The sequence below is a fragment of the Homo sapiens genome, chromosome 7 (assembly GCF_000001405.40).
Source record: "Homo sapiens chromosome 7, GRCh38.p14 Primary Assembly".
In the NCBI taxonomy this organism is placed as follows: domain Eukaryota; kingdom Metazoa; phylum Chordata; class Mammalia; order Primates; family Hominidae; genus Homo; species Homo sapiens.
The window spans coordinates 105,028,645-105,044,309 of record NC_000007.14 but is presented as its reverse complement, the minus strand read 5'-3'; the positions used below and the strand labels follow the sequence as shown (position 1 = coordinate 105,044,309).

General features: G+C 39.1%; 1 protein-coding gene across 6 annotated transcripts in view; it reads right to left on the bottom strand.

Annotated features, from left to right (window-relative positions):
• The window catches only part of KMT2E (lysine methyltransferase 2E (inactive)), a 100,815-nt gene that overhangs the window by 70,710 nt on the left and 14,440 nt on the right, over positions 1-15,665 (bottom strand). For 3 of the 6 annotated variants that reach the window (XM_005250493.2, NM_001410908.1, XM_047420613.1), the window contains exon 2: positions 3,287-3,471. In XM_005250493.2, coding sequence (XP_005250550.1) covers positions 3,287-3,357 — 71 coding nt within the window. In that variant the 5' untranslated portion in view covers positions 3,358-3,471. Of the gene's footprint in view, positions 1-3,286; positions 3,472-5,784; positions 5,926-6,110; positions 6,185-15,665 lie in introns of all 6 variants that reach the window. The other 3 variants (XM_011516400.3, NM_182931.3, NM_018682.4) reach the window with 3 other exon arrangements.

The window sequence follows — 15,665 nt, the reverse complement described above, 5'->3', positions numbered from 1 at the left end:
TACTATTTATGACTGTTGATTATTTACTTAATGAAGCAAACAGCCTATGTTACAAAATGGTACTAGATATTATTTTAGACTAGAGTTACCCAAAGCCTAAATTCTGGTAGTCCTAAATTTATACCACTTTAATTTTCATTGCTTCACTAACTTTACAAATATAGAGAACATTTTTGGTCATCAGAAGTAGAATTATTTTGTTTTACTTTTTTGAGACAGGGTCTTGCTCTGTCACCCAGGCTGGAACGCAGTGGTGCGATCATGGCTCACTGCAGCCTGGAACTCCTGGGCTCAAGTGATCCTCCCACCTCAGCCTCCCAAGTAGCTGGGACTACAGGCATGCGCTGCCATGCCCAGCTAATTTTTAAAAAATTTTTATTTTGTAGAGACAGGGTCTCATTGTATTACCCAGGCTGGTTTCAAACTGCTGGGCTCAAGCGATCTGCCTGCCTCAGCCTCCCAAAGCACTGGAATTACAGGTATAAGCCACCACACTGAGCTGAATTATTTACGTAATATTTCTATTCTTAAAAATGAAAAAACGCTATTTCCAAATGTGTTGTAATTCTAAATTAACATCAAAAACTTTAAAGGAAGAACAACCACTACTCTGTTTGCAATAATCTATTTGATATTGCCACATTTTTCTGGAACCACTTTACAAATTTAAAATCTTATTTGTTTTATACCAAAATGTCCTTATTCATTAAAAAACCATCACAAATTATCACCTAAGCCACATCATATATTATTAATGCAGAAATTTAAGTAAGTGGCCGGGCGCGGTGGCTCACGCCTGTAATCCCAGCACTTTGGGAGGCCGAGGCGGGTGGATCACGAGGTCAGGAGATCGAGACCATCCCGGCTAAAACGGTGAAACCCCGTCTCTACTAAAAATACAAAAAATTAGCCGGGCGTAGTGGCGGGCGCCTGTAGTCCCAGCTACTTGGGAGGCTGAGGCAGGAGAATGGCATGAACCCGGGAGGCGGAGCTTGCAGTGAGCCGAGATCCCGCCACTGCACTCCAGCCTGGGCGACAGAGCAAGACTCCGTCTCAAAAAAAAAAAAAAAGAAAAAAAGAAATTTAAGTAAGTTAGAACTGAAAATCTAAAAAGGGAAAAATGCCAATCATTAAATTGAGGAGGCATTTAGAGAAAAAGAACAGTTTAGAATGATGGAATAAATAAGCTCTAATTCCTCAGAAACTGGACTTAAAGGATGTTCTTCTTCCCAATTAAAAATTTAATTTCTTCTCTGTATAAACTCTCAAACTGCAAGTGGGTTTTGATGAGAAGCTCATACCAGCATCTTAGATCTTAGGTAAAACCTCTAATTTTCCCTTTGAGTGTTAAGACCTCCAATAACATACATTTCAATAATATAACCATAGCCAGTGTATGTTATTGAAGGCATAACATGAATAGGTTATACTAATTGTTATATTAATAGGTGTAAAAAATCTCCATGACTTCTCAATATACTCCTTCAGATTTGCGATCAAAATCTGTCCATTTCTTTTCTCTCTCTTACAATCTATTATTTTTAAATATTTGTATGAAAATACGTAAGAAATTTAAAAATAAAGAGCAAATGAAGTTTGGTATGACAATTGTCCTCAGTTCATCACATGTGGCATTTCACTTCATTTTACTCCTCTATTAACTAAATGTGACTCTTCTGACCTATGTGGCAGCATGAATCTGGAGCCAAGCAACTCTGGGTTCAAACCTAACTCTACCTTTTATTAATTATGTGGCCATAGGCAAATGTGTTAATCTCCTTGAGCTGCATTTCTTATAAAATGAAAATAATACCTGCCTTTTTGCTGGGATGATTAAGATATTTTATATAAAACACATTGCTCAAAGTAGGGGAGCTGCTTAACACTTACAGAACATTATATGAATACAATGAGCTCTGTATGTATTACAAGTGAAAAAAATTATAAGAAAAAATTGTTTATGATTAAGTACGAAACAAATGAAAAATTCAGCATTACCCTAAGAACAGCTGTAAACATGGCTGGGCATGGTGGTTCATGCCTGTAATCCCAGCACTTTGGGGGGCCAAGGTGGGCAGATCGCTTGAGCCCAGGAGTTCGAGGCCAGCCTGGTCAATGTGGTGAAACCCTGTCTCTACTAAAAATACAAAAATTAGCTGGGTGTGGTGGCATGCACCTGTAATCCCAGCTACTCAGGAGGCTAAGACATGAGAATCCCTTGAGCCTGGAGGTTGCAGTGAGCTGAGACTGCCCTACTGCACTCCAGCCTGGATGACAGAGTGAGACTCTGTCACAAAACAAACAACAAAAAAAGAACAGTTGTAAACAATGCAAGGACAGTACTTTAAAGCAGGCTTTTGAATACAAAAACAAAGCCACGCTTAAATGAAAGCACCTCCAATTAGTACAAACAAATCAACACTCACTTTAAAAGCAGCAGAAAAAAAAATAGTTTCTTCATAGTCGATTAAGTGTCAAGAAATCACAAGCAAAAATGTTAAGCACTGGATGAAAAAAGAACAAGTAAAAAGTTTCTGAAAATGTTTCATTATATACAAAATATTTTAGAATCTTCAATTATACAAATTCAAACTAAAAATACCCGAGCACCGGCTGAGCGCAGTGGTTCATGCCTGTAATCCCAACACTTTGGGAGTCCGAGGAGAGTGGATCACGAGGTCAGGAGTTCGAGACCAGCCTAGCCAAAATGATGAAACCCCATCTCTACTAAAAACACAAAAATTAGCTGGGCGTGGTGACACACGCCTGTAATACAGCTACTCGGGAGGCTGAGGCAGGAGAATTGCTTGAACCCGGGAGGCAGAGGTTGCAATGAGCTGAGATAGAGCCACTGCATTCCAGCCTGGGAGACACAGCAAAACTCCATCTGTTGCTGGGGGTGGGGGGAACCCAAGCACCAACAAATTAATGACTCCTGTCAGCAGGTGGCTCTAGTGACACTGGAATAACAATATCAAATACTATAGGAAAATACAGTTGGTAAAAAATGTATCGCTTCTCAGAAATTTGGAGTCAAAATAAGTCATGTCAATACCTCAATCCAATAATGAATATTAGTGGTAATGCTATTTAAAAGGAAAACAAAGATAGCAATCACGTTCTCAGTGTTTGAGAAAGAAAGGTAACTTCGCTTTTTTTTTTTTTACTTTAAAAAATGGCTAGGAAAGAAGAAATTTAATATTTTCCACTTATACTTCTTCCTACTTTCTAGCTCCAGAAGGGTTTTTTTTTTTTTTTTGCTTATGTAACCAATTTAAATACTTACTCTGAACCTGCAGCCATTTCCAAGTATGACGTCTCTGCTGTATCAACCCCCAATGGGATCACTATGCTCATGACGTTCGCCTCTGGTAAATTCGATTACTATGGAGTCCTATGCATTGGTATCCAAAACACTGGGGCATGCCAGCCACAGTGCTCATTGCAAACATCTAAGTGCATCCACAAACCCTGTTTAAAAGAAAAGGAGACAAAAAAGCAACAGTCACACTATAACAGTAAGTAAAATAACATGAAGAAAACATTCTTTATTAAAATCTCAATATAAATTGAAATTTGCTTAGAGTCTCTCTCATTAATTTTTCTGGAATTGAGTTATGTGATCATGATCAAAAGAAAAGTTTCTAAATCACAATCTTTCTGAGGGAATGAATTTAGAATGCCACAAGAAGATTACTACGGCATATTTAGTGAAGAACCAAAAATTATTCATTTTAAAAGATAAAATGTAATTTCTTAAAGTGCCAGTATGCAAAAATAAGTCTTCTTTGTTCAGTGAGTGATCTAACAATATACTACCAAATACTGAGTACTTACTATGGACTAAGCACCATAATCAGCTTTTTACATGGATGGTCTATTTAATCCTCCTAATTCTAAGGTAGGTATCTCCATTTTACCACTGAGGAAAAGAAAACCAAAACAGGCTAATACCGAAAAGCACTGTGTAATTGTCTATTATTGTATATTTTCATATTATAATAATTAGTAATCTGGTAGCTCTCCTCCAGCAACACATGGTTTAAAAATAACTTAATCAAGGCTACTCCACTTAAGAGATGAAACCAGGATCTGAACCAATTCTACTCTACTGTTTGCATCTGTATGTAAGGGAAACTATGTTATTTGTAAAAATTTGATTACTGTACAGTAGTTGTCATTTTCTATAACAGGTAAATCTAGGTATACTGTTGAAGGAGTTCTCTTTTTCTTCCATTAATATTGTTCAGTTATTAAAGAGTTAATATTCCCTAACTCAATTAGTAGAAAAAACTAATGAAGTTTTTTTTTAAACAAATTTACAATAGCAACTAAAAGATACTTAGCTTCAACATCAATTTTTCTAATTTAAATTCACTACATAACAGTGGCTACAGGTATGTTTATAAAATATCTACTCAAAGTCTTTTCAAAAATTATACAGGTGCAACTCAGGAACAAAACCAATATAGATAATCCTATAAATTAGAAAACAGCAACAGTCATTATCCTTGTCTCTGTAATGTAATACCTGAAATATTGAAAAGCAGTGTGCAATTGTCTATTACTGTATATTTTTATCTTATAATAATTAGTAATCTGGTAGCTCTCTCCCAGTTACACATAGTTTAAAAGTTCAAGGCTAGTTTTCTTGGAGAATTCAAACCACTATTAACATGTTATTAACCCGCTTTGGTAATCTTCCCCCATAATGTATGAACTCACAATCTGTATAATCTGTGAAACAGGAATTAACCTAAATAGATATTTTCAAATGTAACTAAATATTACAGGCAGATATAAGAATTGCTACTTGAAGAAACACTGTTTTTTATGTTAGACTCACAAAAGTCTTGTATTTTAGGTATATACTATATTTAGTGGTATACTTATTTACCAGAGGCAAACATTGAAAGGAAATCAAGTCATTATTAAAGTCTTTTAAGTACTGAGTGATATTTCCAATCTAAAATAATCTACTTAGGTATTTATTTACTAGTATGTCCCTTTTTATATAAATATGCCATCCTCAGTACACACCACACTTGAGATGTTTCAGTAAAGAGCTTGCCACAAACTTCCTTCAGACAATGACTTCTATTTGTGCTATTGCTGCTTGTCTTCCAAACTGCACAGTGCCTGGGACATAACAGCATTCTACAAAGAATTGGTGAATGCATTAGAGAACTTGAGATGAAACTGCAGCTCTGGCTTAATTAACTAAATGAACTATCACCCTGTATAATCAAGTGTCATTAAAAACGACTACATGACATCCCCATAACTGCCTTTCCCTAAAAACACAGAAGCTTATCCTCAGGACAAAGATACATCATCACATCTGAAACAGAACTGCAGACTCTGAATTTGATTCAACAGGAAAAGCAGATCTCAGTAATTTACTCACAAGAGGTCAGAAGACAAGAGGTCATATGTATTAAGACATTAAGGCAAGTATTTCACTATTTGCATTAATATAAAAAATCTTATAATGAGAAAATTCGCATCGCTTAAAAATGTTGTTGATATTTAATAAAATGATGAATTCGTTAGGGTCAAATCATAGTTTTTTTAAAAAGGGAAAGCCAATGTAGCAAGCAGAAAAGATGTGACCTTTAACACAGTGAGTTTAAAAAACAGTCAAAAACTGGCCGGGCATGGTGGCTCAAGCCTGTAATCCCAGCACTTTGGGAGGCCGAGGCGGGTGGATCATGAGGTTAGGAGATTGAGACCATCCTGGCCAACATGGTGAAACTCTGTCTCTATTAAAAATACAAAAATTACCTGGGCTTGGTGGCATGTGCCTGTAATCCCAGCTACTCAGGACGCTGAGGCAGGAGAATCGCTTGAACTAGGGAGTCAGAGGCTGCAGTGAGCTGCGATCGCGCCACTGCACTCCAGCCTGGTGACAGAGCGAGACTCCGTCTCAAAAAAAAAAAAAAGTTATAAATAAAGGGAAAAGGTTTTTAACACAACCTTAACAATTAACACAATGTTTCACATCTTATGTGTGAATCAAAAAACTGGTCATCCAGCTGACAAGTAAAATATGTACAAAATACATTGAGAATAAATGGCAGCCATTAAAGAAATAATAGAAAAGGAAATACCATGAGATGTCTGGTAAATCTGAGGTCCAAGAAAGAATAAATGTCTTCACAAAACCTGCTTATCCAGAATAGACCTAGAAACCAAGTGAACATAGGAGTTTTGAGCTATTTTTAAATGGCATAAAATTATAATTACTTCTAACTGACATGGTACCTAAAACCAAAGTGACTCACACAAAGCAGCCAATTCTTAAAAGGATAAATTTACTCTTCCCTTTTTACACAAATGAATGTAAACACAAGTAAAGGCAACAATCAAAGCTAAATACTAAATCAAACTGGAAAAAGAAACACTGGGATACAATATTAAATTTAATATTTAAAAATGTTTAACTGAAAAATAAATTTTAATACAATATTAAAAACAGATTTAGCAAAGGCAACAATACCAAAACAAAAACAATAAAAACAAACAAGACTCTCAAGTAGGAAAAATGAAGTAAAAGGCAAAAAAAGCAATTAAAGTAGAAAACAGTTTATCAGAAAAACTGGAAGACTGAAGCTGCCTTTAAGACCGTGTTAAAATAAACAGAAAACAGCTGGGCACAGTGGCTCACACCTGTAATCCCAGCACTTTGAGCAGCTGAGGCAGGCAGACTACTTGAGCCCAGGAGTTCAGGAACAGCCTGGGCAACATAGTGAGACATTATCCCTACAAAAAATACAAAAACTAGCTGGATGTGGTGATGCACACCTGTAGTCCCAGTTACTTGGGAGGCTGAGATGGGAGGATTGTTTGAGCCCAAGAGGTCAAGGCTGCAGTGAGCCACGATTGCACAACTGCACTCCAGCCTGGCTGACAGAGGGAGACCCTGTCTTAAAAAAAACAACAAAAAAAAGAAAACAAAAAGTAACACTTTAAAGATTAATATGATACCCAAAAGGCAGAAAGAATAAAAAATATGAGTAAAAATATTTTTCTAAAATTACAAATAAAAGAGCCCAATATAACAATCTCTTTGAGGAAAGAGCCATTTATTATATTTCTGTCCTTTATAAGCACCTGGCACAGTGCTCAATAAATATTTTAAATTAATGTATATATTTTGGATGTGTATCACTAAGAGACTAGGTAAATTTTTGGCTTAATTACTAATGGAAATAATTAAAGAAACTTGAAAGAAATTTTGAGGAGACATGTAACTGAGACTGGAAATTAAACAGCCCTTATTAGTCATTTAACATTTAATTTACAGCAGCTGACTAAGGTAAAATGAAAAGAATACTAGTCAATCAGATCCATTCCAAGTTACTACCTACGAATGCTTGGGCAAGTCATTTCACTGCTCTGACTTTCAACTATAAATGGAAGTTGATTAGGCTGATGATCTTACAATTACATTAACAGATTATTCCAAATAATCAAAATGACAGAATTTTAGATTCTAAAAAACTATAAAATATAAATGTGATAACAAAATGAATATGCATTTCTACAACTGAGCTAGCATTACTACCAGATAGTGCTCTAGAAGCACTTATCTGATACTCAAACTTCCCCAACTAGTGGTTATAATAATAATGATAGCAAATTCTGAGTGCTTACAATGCTTAATCTCCACAATAAGCCTATGGTATAGGTGCATTTATTATCCCCATTTTACAATGAGGTAGAGAGGTTAAACTTGTCCAAAGTTCATAACTAATAAATAGCCAAATCAAGATCTGAACCCTTGTGGTCTGATTCCAGAGCCTACACATCAGTATGCCTGAAATTAAAAACTGCCAGATGGCTGAGAGCTGTGGCTCACACTTGTAATCCCAGCACTTTGGGAGGCCTAGGCGGGTGGGTCACCTGAGGTAAGGAATTCAAGACCAGCCTGGCCAACATGGTGTAACCGTGTCCCTACTAAAAATACAAAAATTAGCTGGGTGTGGATACACCTGTAATCCCATCTACTTGGGAGGCTGAGGCACGAGAATCGCTTGAACCCAGGAGACAGAGGTTGCAGTGAGCCAAGATTGCTCCACTGCACTCCAGCCTGGGTGACAGACTCTGCCAAAAAAAAAAACAAAAAAAAAAACCAAAAGAACAACAACAACAACAACAAAAAACCCTGCCAGATGATAGGTAAAATAAATAATCTAGAATTTATAATTAAGGAAGAAAAAATTGACAGCTGCCTCTCTCAAAAAGGGAAATTAAATACTTAAGTATCTCACTCCAGAACATCTGAATTGCGTTTCCTCTGATTATTAAATGAAACTGCACTAACAAAACCGACCTTGCTCCTCCCTCAAACCTGATCCAGTTAACAAACTTACATTTAATCTGTAACAATGCATTAAAACACCACAAACGTGGGCAAATACAGTCTCAAAGACTAAAATTTGTGTTTATGGCCGGGTGTGGTGGCTCACATCTGTAATCCCAGCACTTTGGGAGGCCAAGGTGGGTGGATCACCTGAGGTCAGAAGTTCGAGACCAGCCTGGCCAACATGGTGAAACCCCACCTCTACTAGAAATACAAAATTAGCCGGGCACGGTGGCACATGCCTGTAGTCCTGGCTACTCAGGAGGCTGAGGCAGGAGAATCACCTGAACTGCACAGCCTGGGCGACAAGAGCAAAACTCTCTGTCTCAAAATAAATAAATAAATAAATAAAGCAAGAAAATAAAATTAAATGGAACACTACTCAGCAATATAAAGGAACAAACTATCAATACAGGCAACAACTTGGGTGAATCCAAGGTAATTATGCTGAGTGGAAAAAAAAAAAAGCCGATCTTGGCTGGGCACAGTGGCTCACACTTGTAATCCCAGCACTTTGGGAGGCTGAGGCAGGTGGACAATTTGAGGTCAGGAGTTCGAGACCAGTCTGGCCAAGATGATGAAACCCCATCTCTACTAACAATAAAAAAAATTAGGCCAGGCGCAGTGGCTCACGCCTGTAATCCCAGCACTTTGGGAGGCCAAGGCAGGCAGATCACACGGTCAGGAGATCGAGACCATCCTGGCTAACACGGTGAAACCCCGTCTCTACTAAAAATACAAAAAAAAAAAAAATTAGCCAGGCTTGGTGGTGGGCGCCTGTAGTCCCAGCTACTTGGGAGGCTGAGGCAGGAGAATGGCATGAACCCAGGAGGCGGAGCGTGCAGTGAGCCGAGATCGTGCCACTGCACCCCAGCCTGGGCAACACAGCAAGACTCAGTCTCAAAAAAAAAAAAAAAAAAAATTAGCCAGGTGTGGTGGTGGGCACCTGTAATCTCAGCTAATCAGGAGACTGAGGCACAAGAATTGCTTGAACCTGGGAGGAAGAGGTTGCAGTGAGCCAGGATTGCACCACTGCACTCCAGACTGGGTGACAAAGCGAAAACTCCATCCCCCCACCCCCCCACCCCCCAAAAAAAAGCCAACCTCAAAAAGTTACATACTATTTAACTCCATTTATATAACATTCTTAAAGTAATAAATTACAGAAATGGAGGATAGGTTATTCAGAAGGGAAGGGGTAGAGAAAGATAGGTATGGTTACATAGGAGAACAATATTAAGGATCCTTGTGGTGATAAAATTGTTCTATACCTTAACTGTGGTGGTGGGTACAGGTACCCACACATGTGATCATAATGCACAGAACTAAATCTAGACAAACAAATGAGTGCAAATACAACTGGGAAGCCTGAATAAAAGGAGAAGATTGTATCAATGTCAATATTCTGGTCTTGGCCAGGTGTGTTGGCTCACGTCTGTAATTTCAGCACTTTGGGAGGCTGAGGCAGAAGGATCACGTGAGGCCAGGAGTTTCAGAACAGCCTGGGCTACAGAGTGTGACCCAAACTCCACAAAAATAAAAAAATTAGCTGGGCATGGTGGTGCAAGCCTGTAGTCCTAACTATTCAGGAGATTGAGGTAGGAGGATCGTCTGAGCCTAGGAGTTTGAGATTACAGCAAGCTGTGATCATACTACTCTCCAACCTGGGCAACAAAGGGAGACCCTGTCTCTTAAAACAAACAAACAAACACACACACACTAGTCAGGACATTGTACCACAATTTTACAAGACTTTACCATTGAGGGAAACTGCGTACTATGGTTTGAATAAGATTTGTCCCTGCCAAAACTCATGTTGAAACCTTAATTTCTAGTGAAGCAAGGTTACGATGTGGAGCCTTTAAGAGGTAGGGCCTTGAACAGGAGGTGTCTGGATCATGAGGGCCCCGACTCTGTGGGTGGCTCTTGTGGTAGTGAGAGCATTATCTCTGGCAAGACTGGATTAGTTCTCTGAGGAATAGATTCGTTCCTGAGATAGTGGGTTGTTAAAAACTTTAGCCAGAACACCCTTTGAGTTCTGCTTTTTCACACGTGCCCATTTCCCTTTTGATTTTCCTCCATGTTGTGATGCCACCATGCTTCTTGAACTTCCCAGCCTGCAGAGCAGTGAACTAAAAACCCTTTGGGCCGGGCGCAGTAGCTCACACCTGTAATCCCAGCACTTTGGGAGGCCGAGGCAGGCGGATCACGAGGTCAGGAGATCGAGACCACCCTGGCTAACACAGCGAAACCCCATCTTTACTAAAAATACAAAAAAATTAGCCAGGCGTGGTGGCGGGCGTCTGTAGTCCCAGCTACGCAGGAGGCTGAGGCCGAAGAATGGCATGAACCCAGGAGGTGGAGCTTGCAGTGGGCCGAGATCATGAAACTGCACTCCAGACTGGGCGACACAGCAAGACTCCGTCTCAAAAAAGCAAAAACAAAAAGCAACAAAAAAAAGCAAAACAAACAAAAATACAAAAAACCTTCTATTAATTACCTAGTCTCAGATATTCTGTTATAGCAACACTAAATGGACTAAGACACTGGGTAAAAATACATAGAATTTCTCTATTATTTCTTACAACCATATGCAACTCTATAATTATCACAAAATTAAAAGTTTAATGTTTTAAAATGACATTAAAATTGTGGGCTTCAAACTCTTTTTAAGCATTGGTAGCAATTTGCCTACACATGAAATATTAACACAGAAATCTAGGCATCCTTTTTGATTGTAACATGAAAAAATAGTTTTAATCTCCTGTGCTTTAACCAATAATTGTTAGTGTCCACTTGAAGTGCTGTACTAAGAAAGCCAAATATAATGGGAGAATGCCACAGTGATGTCTGCCAATGGGTAGAGTAGGCATTTGTACTTCATGTTTGCTACATCTGTGGTTTAAAAAAATACCAGGGGAATGTCCACACCTGTACACCCTCTCACCTATGGCTTCCTGAAGAACTGTTTGAAAATCAATAGCTAAAAGAAAATGCTGACTTAAAATCTGATAGGAAAAACTTGTTTCACTGGTATATTCTACTTGTCCCAAGGACATATTGAGTAGAATATTTTTTACTCTTGCAAAAAATAGTGTTAAAGCTTATTGTAATTAATAATCAAACAACAACAAAATCCTATGATGGACATGGTGGCTCACAACTGTTATCCCACATTTTGGGAGGCCAAGGCAGGAGGACTGCTTGAGGCCAGGAGTTTGAGGCCAGCCTGGGCAAAAAACCAAGACCCTGTCTCTACAAAAAAATTTTTAAAAATTAGCCAGGGGTAGTGGTATGTGCCTGTAATCCCAGCTAACTGGGAGGCTGAGGTGACAACGTCACTTGAGCCCAGGAGTCTGAGGTGACAGTGAACCATGATAGCACCAGTGTACTCCAGCGTGGGGAACAGACCAAGACTCTGTCTCTAAAAAAAATAAATAAGTAAAACAAAAATAAGTAAATAACTTTTTTTTAAAATCCTGCAAACGCTTTTTTTTTCTTGAGACGGAGTCTCGCTCTGTCATCCAGGCTGGAGTACAGTGGTGCGATCTCTGCTCACTGCAACCTCCACCTCCCAGGTTCAAGCGATATTCCTGCCTCAGCTTCCCAAGAAGCTGGGAATACAGGTGTCTGCCACCATGCCCAGCTAATTTTTGTATTTTTAGTAGAGACAGCATTTCACCATGTTGGCCAGGCTGGTCTCGAACTCCTGACCTCAGGTGATCTGCCTGCCTCAACCTTCCAAAATGCTGGGATTACAGGCTTGAGCCACCACGCCCAGCCCCATTTATCTTTAACTTACTTAACCTATATAGACCATTAGACTTGATCATTATTACTTTTTAGCCTTTTTTTTTTTTTTTTTTTTTTTGTGATAAGAGTCTTGCTATGTCGCCCAGGCTGGAGTGTGGAGTGCAGTAGTGTGATTTCGGCTGACTGTAACCTGTCTCCTGGGTTCAAGAGACTATCCCGCCTCAGCCTCCTAAGTAGCCGGGACTACAGGCGCGCCACCATGCCCAGATAGTTTTTGTATTTTCAGTAGAGACAGAGTTTTATCATGTTGGCCACACTGGTCTCAAGCTCCTGACCTCCAGTGATCCACCCACCTTGGCCTCCCAAAGTGCAGGGATTACAGGCATGAGCCACCATGCCTGGCCTTTATTTATTTATTTATTTAATTTATTTATTTATTTTTGAGACAGTTTCACTCTGTCACCCAGGCTGGAGTGCTGTAGCACAATCTCGAGTCACTGCAACCTCCGCCTCCCATGTTCAACCAATTCTCCTGCCTCAGCCTCCCAATTAGGTGGCATTACAGGTGCCCGCCACCATGCCCAGCTAATTTTTGTATTTTTAGTAGAGATGGCGTTTCATCATATTGGCCAGGCTGGTTTCAAACTCCTGACCTCAAGTGATCTGCCCACCTTGGCCTCCCAAAGTGATGGGATTACAGGCATGAGCCACCGTGCCTCACCTTTTTCAGCCATTAAATAACCAAATAAGAGCAGGTTTTTGATTAAAATGAAGTTGGCAATTATTTTATTCTGTCATTCTTTCTTCCCCACCCTCCCACCACCCCCCCAATCCTCAGACGGAGTTTGCTCTTGTTGCCCAGGCTGGAATGCAATGGCGCCATCTTGGCTCACTGCAACCTCCACCTCCCAGGATCAAGCGATTGTCCTGCCTCAGTCTCCCAAGTACCTCGATCACAGGTATCTGCCACCACGCCTGGATAATTTTTTATGTTTTTAGTAGAGACAGGGTTTCACCATGTTGGCCAGGCTGTTTTCGATCTCCTGACCTCAAGTGATCCACCCACCTTGGCCTCCCAAGGTGTTAGGATTACAGGCATGAGCCACCGTGCCCAGCCTATTCTGTCATTCTTTAATCGCAAGTAAAACAGTGTCCTCACTCTCCTTCTATCTCCTTCTAAGTATGCTTTCTATCACTATTTTGAATCCATTTCTTTCATACTAGAAAACTTGAGATTTTTCTTCTTTCCCTCTCTAAAAACAACGTGCATAAAATCTAATTAATAGAATTTAAACAAATCTTTCTGATGATACTGTCTACATTTTATTATCTCAGACCTGGGCAATGAATACTTCCCTAAGTAGTTTCTTTCCCTATACTAATGTGGCTTTTAAACCACTGGTTCCCAAACATAGATCCACAACTGTTACTTTTCATATACCTGGGGATAGGAGTAGAAAATGATAGGTTCCTAGGCCTTACCCTAGAGATTCTCATGTAGTAGGTCTGAGATGTGGCCTGAATGCCTTATCAAAAAACTAAAAGGGCATTCACACCAGTGCTCTATTTTAGTACTGGTTACAACATTGGACAGAATATTATACTTCAAAAGCCACTAGTTTCCTCATAACTTTGACCTATTCAAAAAAAGTGTAGTTCACAGTAATTCCAGTCAAGTTCCTAATGTTGACATTTTATCAGGTTATCTTGTTCCATACTAATAATCCAATCTATAACTCCTTTGATTATGCAAGTCTTTTTTGCTATTGTTGGCATATCCTTGCTCATTCCTCTTCAAATTCACTAATTTTCTTTTCCTTTTCTTTCCCACCCAATAAAAATCATATTAGACCTTCAAGAACCAATGCTTCCTTGAAGCCTTCCCAATTTTTTTAGATAGTTTTAAGATATCTGGCAAATCAACCTCCTAAGGGCTGTTTCCTCACCTGTAAATAACAATTTGACTAGACTTTATCTCAAAAGACTTCTCCAGCTATAAAACTTGTTCTACACTAATGTCTTCCCTTCTTAACCTCCTAAAGAATGCACTACTTACATTAACTACTGGTTTATATTTTGACAGACATTGTTCTAGAACAGCTGCTAAATGTATAGCTTCCACAATTAGATCATCTATTTGACTCCATAGCAAGAACTGAGGTATTTCTATATTACCTCAAAGCCTGTAATTCAGTGGCTAGGATACCCACCTAAATTATTATTGATTAAACCACAATTTCCCTTTTTCTAACACATAAATCTCTCCTCCTTCCTTTAAATGAACATGAAAAAACAAAACCTGCCACTGTTACTAATGTAGTTGCCCCCAGGCTCAGTCCTCCCCATTATTAGTCTCCCATCAATCTTGGACTCAATTTTTCATTTCTGTTTGATTTACTTTTCCCACTCATCTATTGGATGTATATCTATATCTGCCATCACTTCAAAAATCAAGCCTTCAAAGTGAAACTTTCTTTTCCACACATCTTCTTTCATTCTATTTTTTATCAGTATCGCCATTCTCTTCTCCTTCTTTCGTTCCAGTTTCCTATTATATCCAGCCACCCAATCTTTTGTGCCTCCTCAGTGTTTAAGACTCATTCTCCCTCAGCCGCCATGGCCCCTACCATCATCTTCATCACCTGAATAATCCAACAATCAACAACCCTTTCAATATGTCACTATCAACTTCTAAGTAATTTGTCTCTAAAGAATGGAATTCTTAGTATTGTTTAAGCATTTCCCTCCTCCCTCAGAGTACAACTATTCTATTTTAAAACCAAATCAAATCAAATTCATTCATTTAACATATTTATTGAACATATACTATGTTCTAGATACTGCTCTAGGTTCTTGGGAATGGGCAATGAACAAAATTATATTGCTCTTATGACACCTGAAATGACCTATGGCAATCCAATATAATCAAGGGTACCTTCAAGTAGTGTTTTTTTTTCCTGGAGTGCAGTGGCACGATCTCAGCTCACTGCAACCTCTGCCTCCCAGGTTCAAGCAATTCCTCTGACTCAGCCTCCCACGTAGCTAGATTACAGGCGTGCACCACCACAACTGGCTAATTTTTGTATTTTAGTAGAGACGGGGTTTCCCTATGTTGGCCAGGCTAGTCTCGAACTCCTGACTTCAAGTGATCCACCTACCTCGTCCTCCCAAAGTGCTGGGATTATAGACATGAGCCACCGTGCCCGGCCTTAGAGTAGTTTTCTTAAGCAGCTGCCTTTGATTAATGATGTTTATTCTCAATACCTTGTCAAGAATTAGTCCTTTATAAGGATCAACAGAAAGCTACAAAAATTTTCAAATGACTTTAATTCAAATTATTGAACAGCCACTCCTTAGCTATGTGACCCTAGGAAATGTCTCAGTCTCAGGCCGTGCACGGTGGCTCACACTTGTAATCTCAGCACTTTGGGAGGCCAAGGTGGAGGGATCACTTGAGCTCAAGAATTAGAGACCACCCTGGACAACATGGTGAAATCCCATCTCTACAAAAAACAAAAAATGAAAATTAGCCAGGTGTGGTGCTGCA